The sequence below is a fragment of the Homo sapiens genome, chromosome 1 (genome assembly GCF_000001405.40).
Source record: "Homo sapiens chromosome 1, GRCh38.p14 Primary Assembly".
Lineage (NCBI taxonomy): Eukaryota > Metazoa > Chordata > Mammalia > Primates > Hominidae > Homo > Homo sapiens.
Genome location: NC_000001.11, coordinates 153,029,964 through 153,033,114, shown reverse-complemented (window position 1 = coordinate 153,033,114; position 3,151 = coordinate 153,029,964). Strand labels below are relative to the sequence as shown.

General features: G+C 44.8%; 1 protein-coding gene across 1 annotated transcript; it reads right to left on the bottom strand.

The window, feature by feature from the left end:
• Window positions 1–214: 214 nt before the first annotated feature.
• Window positions 215–1,912, bottom strand: SPRR1B (small proline rich protein 1B). Its single transcript, NM_003125.3, has 2 exons — window positions 1,868–1,912; window positions 215–788 (listed from the first exon to the last, which is right to left on the bottom strand). Exon 2 carries the CDS (start codon window positions 767–769, stop codon window positions 500–502), a length of 270 nt encoding a protein of 89 aa, NP_003116.2. The 5' UTR covers window positions 770–788; window positions 1,868–1,912; the 3' UTR covers window positions 215–499.
• Window positions 1,913–3,151: the final 1,239 nt, after the last annotated feature.

Below are 3,151 nucleotides of genomic sequence, written 5' to 3'. Positions count from 1 at the left end.
CCCTGGATGCCCAAAGCAACAGCCTCTAGGTGGCATTACACAACCTCCCATAGGCAGCCCAGGAATGCTTGTGGGGGCAGCCCTTCACCCTCCTAATGTGAGCATCAGATGCCTTCTGGACAAAGCCCTTCTTCACCAACTCATCTCTGTGTACAGCTCCCGCTTCACGAGGGAAAGGAATGAAGTTGTAGAGTCAATGACACACAGTCAAGAGTGGAATTGAAAGTGAATTTAATGGGGGTATAAGGGAGCTGAATCATTTGCTTTCATCTTAAGTCTCTCTTCAGATGAATTCTGAGCAGCTGAAAACTAGCTCTGGTACTAAGACCTTCAGCTTCATTCAGAGACTCAGAGTGTGTAGGAAAGAAAGCTTCATAGCACATTCTTTTTTGGGGGAGACAGAATGCTAATTGCAAGGCAAATGGGACTCATACGCAGAATGGGATAGGGGATTCAGCATCTGGTGGCCGGCTCCTCAAGGGCATGGCTGTGGACCACATTACTTCTGCTTGGTCTTCTGCTGGGCTGGTGCTGGAGTGACTATTGAAGGGCAGGGCTCAGGCACCTTGGGGTGGCATGGCTCTGGAACCTTGGGCTGGCAGGGCTCGGGCACTTTGGGGTGGCAGGGCTCAGGCACCTTGGGGTGGCAGGGCTCCTTGGTTTTGGGGATGCATGGTTCCTGAGGTGGAGGCTGGCAAGGCTGTTTCACCTGCTGCTGCTGAAGCTGAGGGGGTGGGGTGCAAGGCTGCTTCTGCTGCTGGGAACTCATGCTGCAACAGTGACTGGTCCTGGACACAGAACAGATGATTTAAGCAGAGAATAATAGGGAAGAAGCCATGGTGAATACCACTTCTGGTCTCTTAAAAAGCTATGTTCTTTCCCCTTCTTGACCACAAAGAATACTTAATTTAATTTCTGAGCCTTTGAAGAAGAGGAACCTAAAGATGATTTGCTCTTGCTCCACTGGAGCAGGGCCTCTCCTGGTGCTCTCTTTCTTCCTACACAGCACAATAACAGGCTTCTAGCAGGAATATGAGACTCATAATACTGGACCATTGGAAATGTGAGGTTCTTTGGAAAAAAAAAACCCTAACAAATTAAATCTACTCACTCATTTCTGATAAATAGCATGGCTTATCATCTATTGTATAACTCTGACCTCTCTAGAACCCCAAGCAATCCCACCTGTGGCCTGGCTCAAGTTCTCCTCTGTCTTAAATGTTTTCCTTGTTCCTACTCATTCAAGCACTAACCAAACTCCACAGATCGCTTCATATGGGACTTTTAGTGGCTTCTCTAGAAAAAACCTTCCAGAAATCTCTCTATTCCCAAACTGTCACAGAACTTGCCCTAATCACCTGGCACTGATAAGTTACTGTTATACAATGCATTTTAGCTCTTATTTCCTGATTAAATTGTAGTATCATAGATGCTTAAATTATTTCTTTGCAAACAAATTGCCAAATATAGTAAGCTCTCACAAAAGTATCTGTTGAAAGAATAAAATTCTCTGTATTAAAATTATAAATAAGAAGGAATTATAATGCCAGGGTAAGTGCTGTGGACCTGGGTTCTAGTCATTATCCCATTACAAACTTACTATGGATCCTTGAATAAACCAACCCCCTTCTTGCTGACACAGAAAGAGTGAATGAAGAACTGATAATGTCTAAATTCTCTTCAAGCCTACAGTATGAACACTTTTAAAATGAAGATATTCCTAGAGGTTATAATTCAGTTGAACAGTCTGCATGGCTATGATCAAATTCAATAATGAGGGAAAAAAATACCAAGAATGCCAAGGAGACTCTAATAAAAATTAAATACCTAGAATGGATGCTAAAGAGTTCCAAGTAAAGAGACTCACCTGGTGTGAAGAGAGGAATACTCTGTATGGTCCCTTAGAACTGGTGTAGTGTTCCCAGCCAACTGGCTTTTTATGCATGGAACAAGCCCTGCCTCAAGGAAACAGGATCCATCTGGGCTGCTGTGCCTACATTCCTTACCTGTCAGATGTGATTCACCCCTCTTCCCTCACCCACCTGTTGACTCAACTTTTGTGATGAAACTTGTGGCACTTGCTGTCTGACAAGGATGTCACCTGGGCTTTATCCCCCTGAACACCCTTTGCTCCCAGGTGTAGTGTTTACAGGAAGGGTGGTGTGGGCTGAAAGAGAGAGAAGGAAGACATTCTGGGGCTGCTGGAACCAGAAACTGTCCTATCTTCTGGAAGAGTCTAATCCTCAGCACAGGTGACACTTGTAGGGCTGTTTAATATATGAAGTGGATGTAGAGATAAACAATAGGTATTTCTGGTTATTCTGGGAGGCCAAGGGCATGGTGGCTAGGTGAAAAATAGTAATATTCTGTTAATCCATCACTCAGTATACTCGTGCCTGGCAGGGGAAAGGAAAAACTAAAATGATTATTTCGGTTCTAAAAAGCCTTTTCTCCAAGGAGGAACTCAGGGTAAACAACATAGGGGCAGGCTGACCTCAGTCTGTGAAGGAGAGTTCGGAGCAGTGAAACTCTGGGAAGAATGGTCACGTTCGGAAGCTCTGGAGCAACCTGGCCCTTTTAGTCCATCCATTTATTCTGTACATTGTGACAGTAGGCCCTGAAGACCCTGGCTATCATGGGGAATCCCTTCTCTGCAGCCAACATGGGAAGGAACAAAGGAGCTGGGATTCCCTGAGCCCTTATATCAAAGTTCACTCTCCTCAAGATAAGATGAAACTTAGGTCACTAATCCAGGTCTACCTGCAGTACACAACCTGTTGCAAGTGTGGTTTTTGGAAAATCCAAACTATCCTTCAAATCCAGGTGTCGGATGGTCCCTCCCTCATTATTTTCACTCATCTAAATGTTTGTAGAGCAACTGCTGGCTGCACAGCTGTGTCACCTCTCATGAACTTGAGCCCAGGACCAGCCAGCTACCACCAGAAGTTCCTCTGCTTAGCCATTGTTCTACCTTCCATCTTCACGTGATGCCTGGTGTGTAGTAGCTGCTCAGAGAATTGACAATTATAGAATAACTGAATGAATGGAAGGATGGAGAGATGGGTGGATGATGTTATTCGTGAAGAGACGCCAGAGGCTGTTTTGAGAATTATCAGGAAATTTTTTTATAGGGGAAATCCTTCCTTGTGGC

Bases quoted from the DNA above. Each gene is read 5' to 3' on its own strand.
- SPRR1B (NM_003125.3), bottom strand. From the start codon at position 769: ATGAGTTCCCAGCAGCAGAAGCAGCCTTGCACCCCACCCCCTCAGCTT.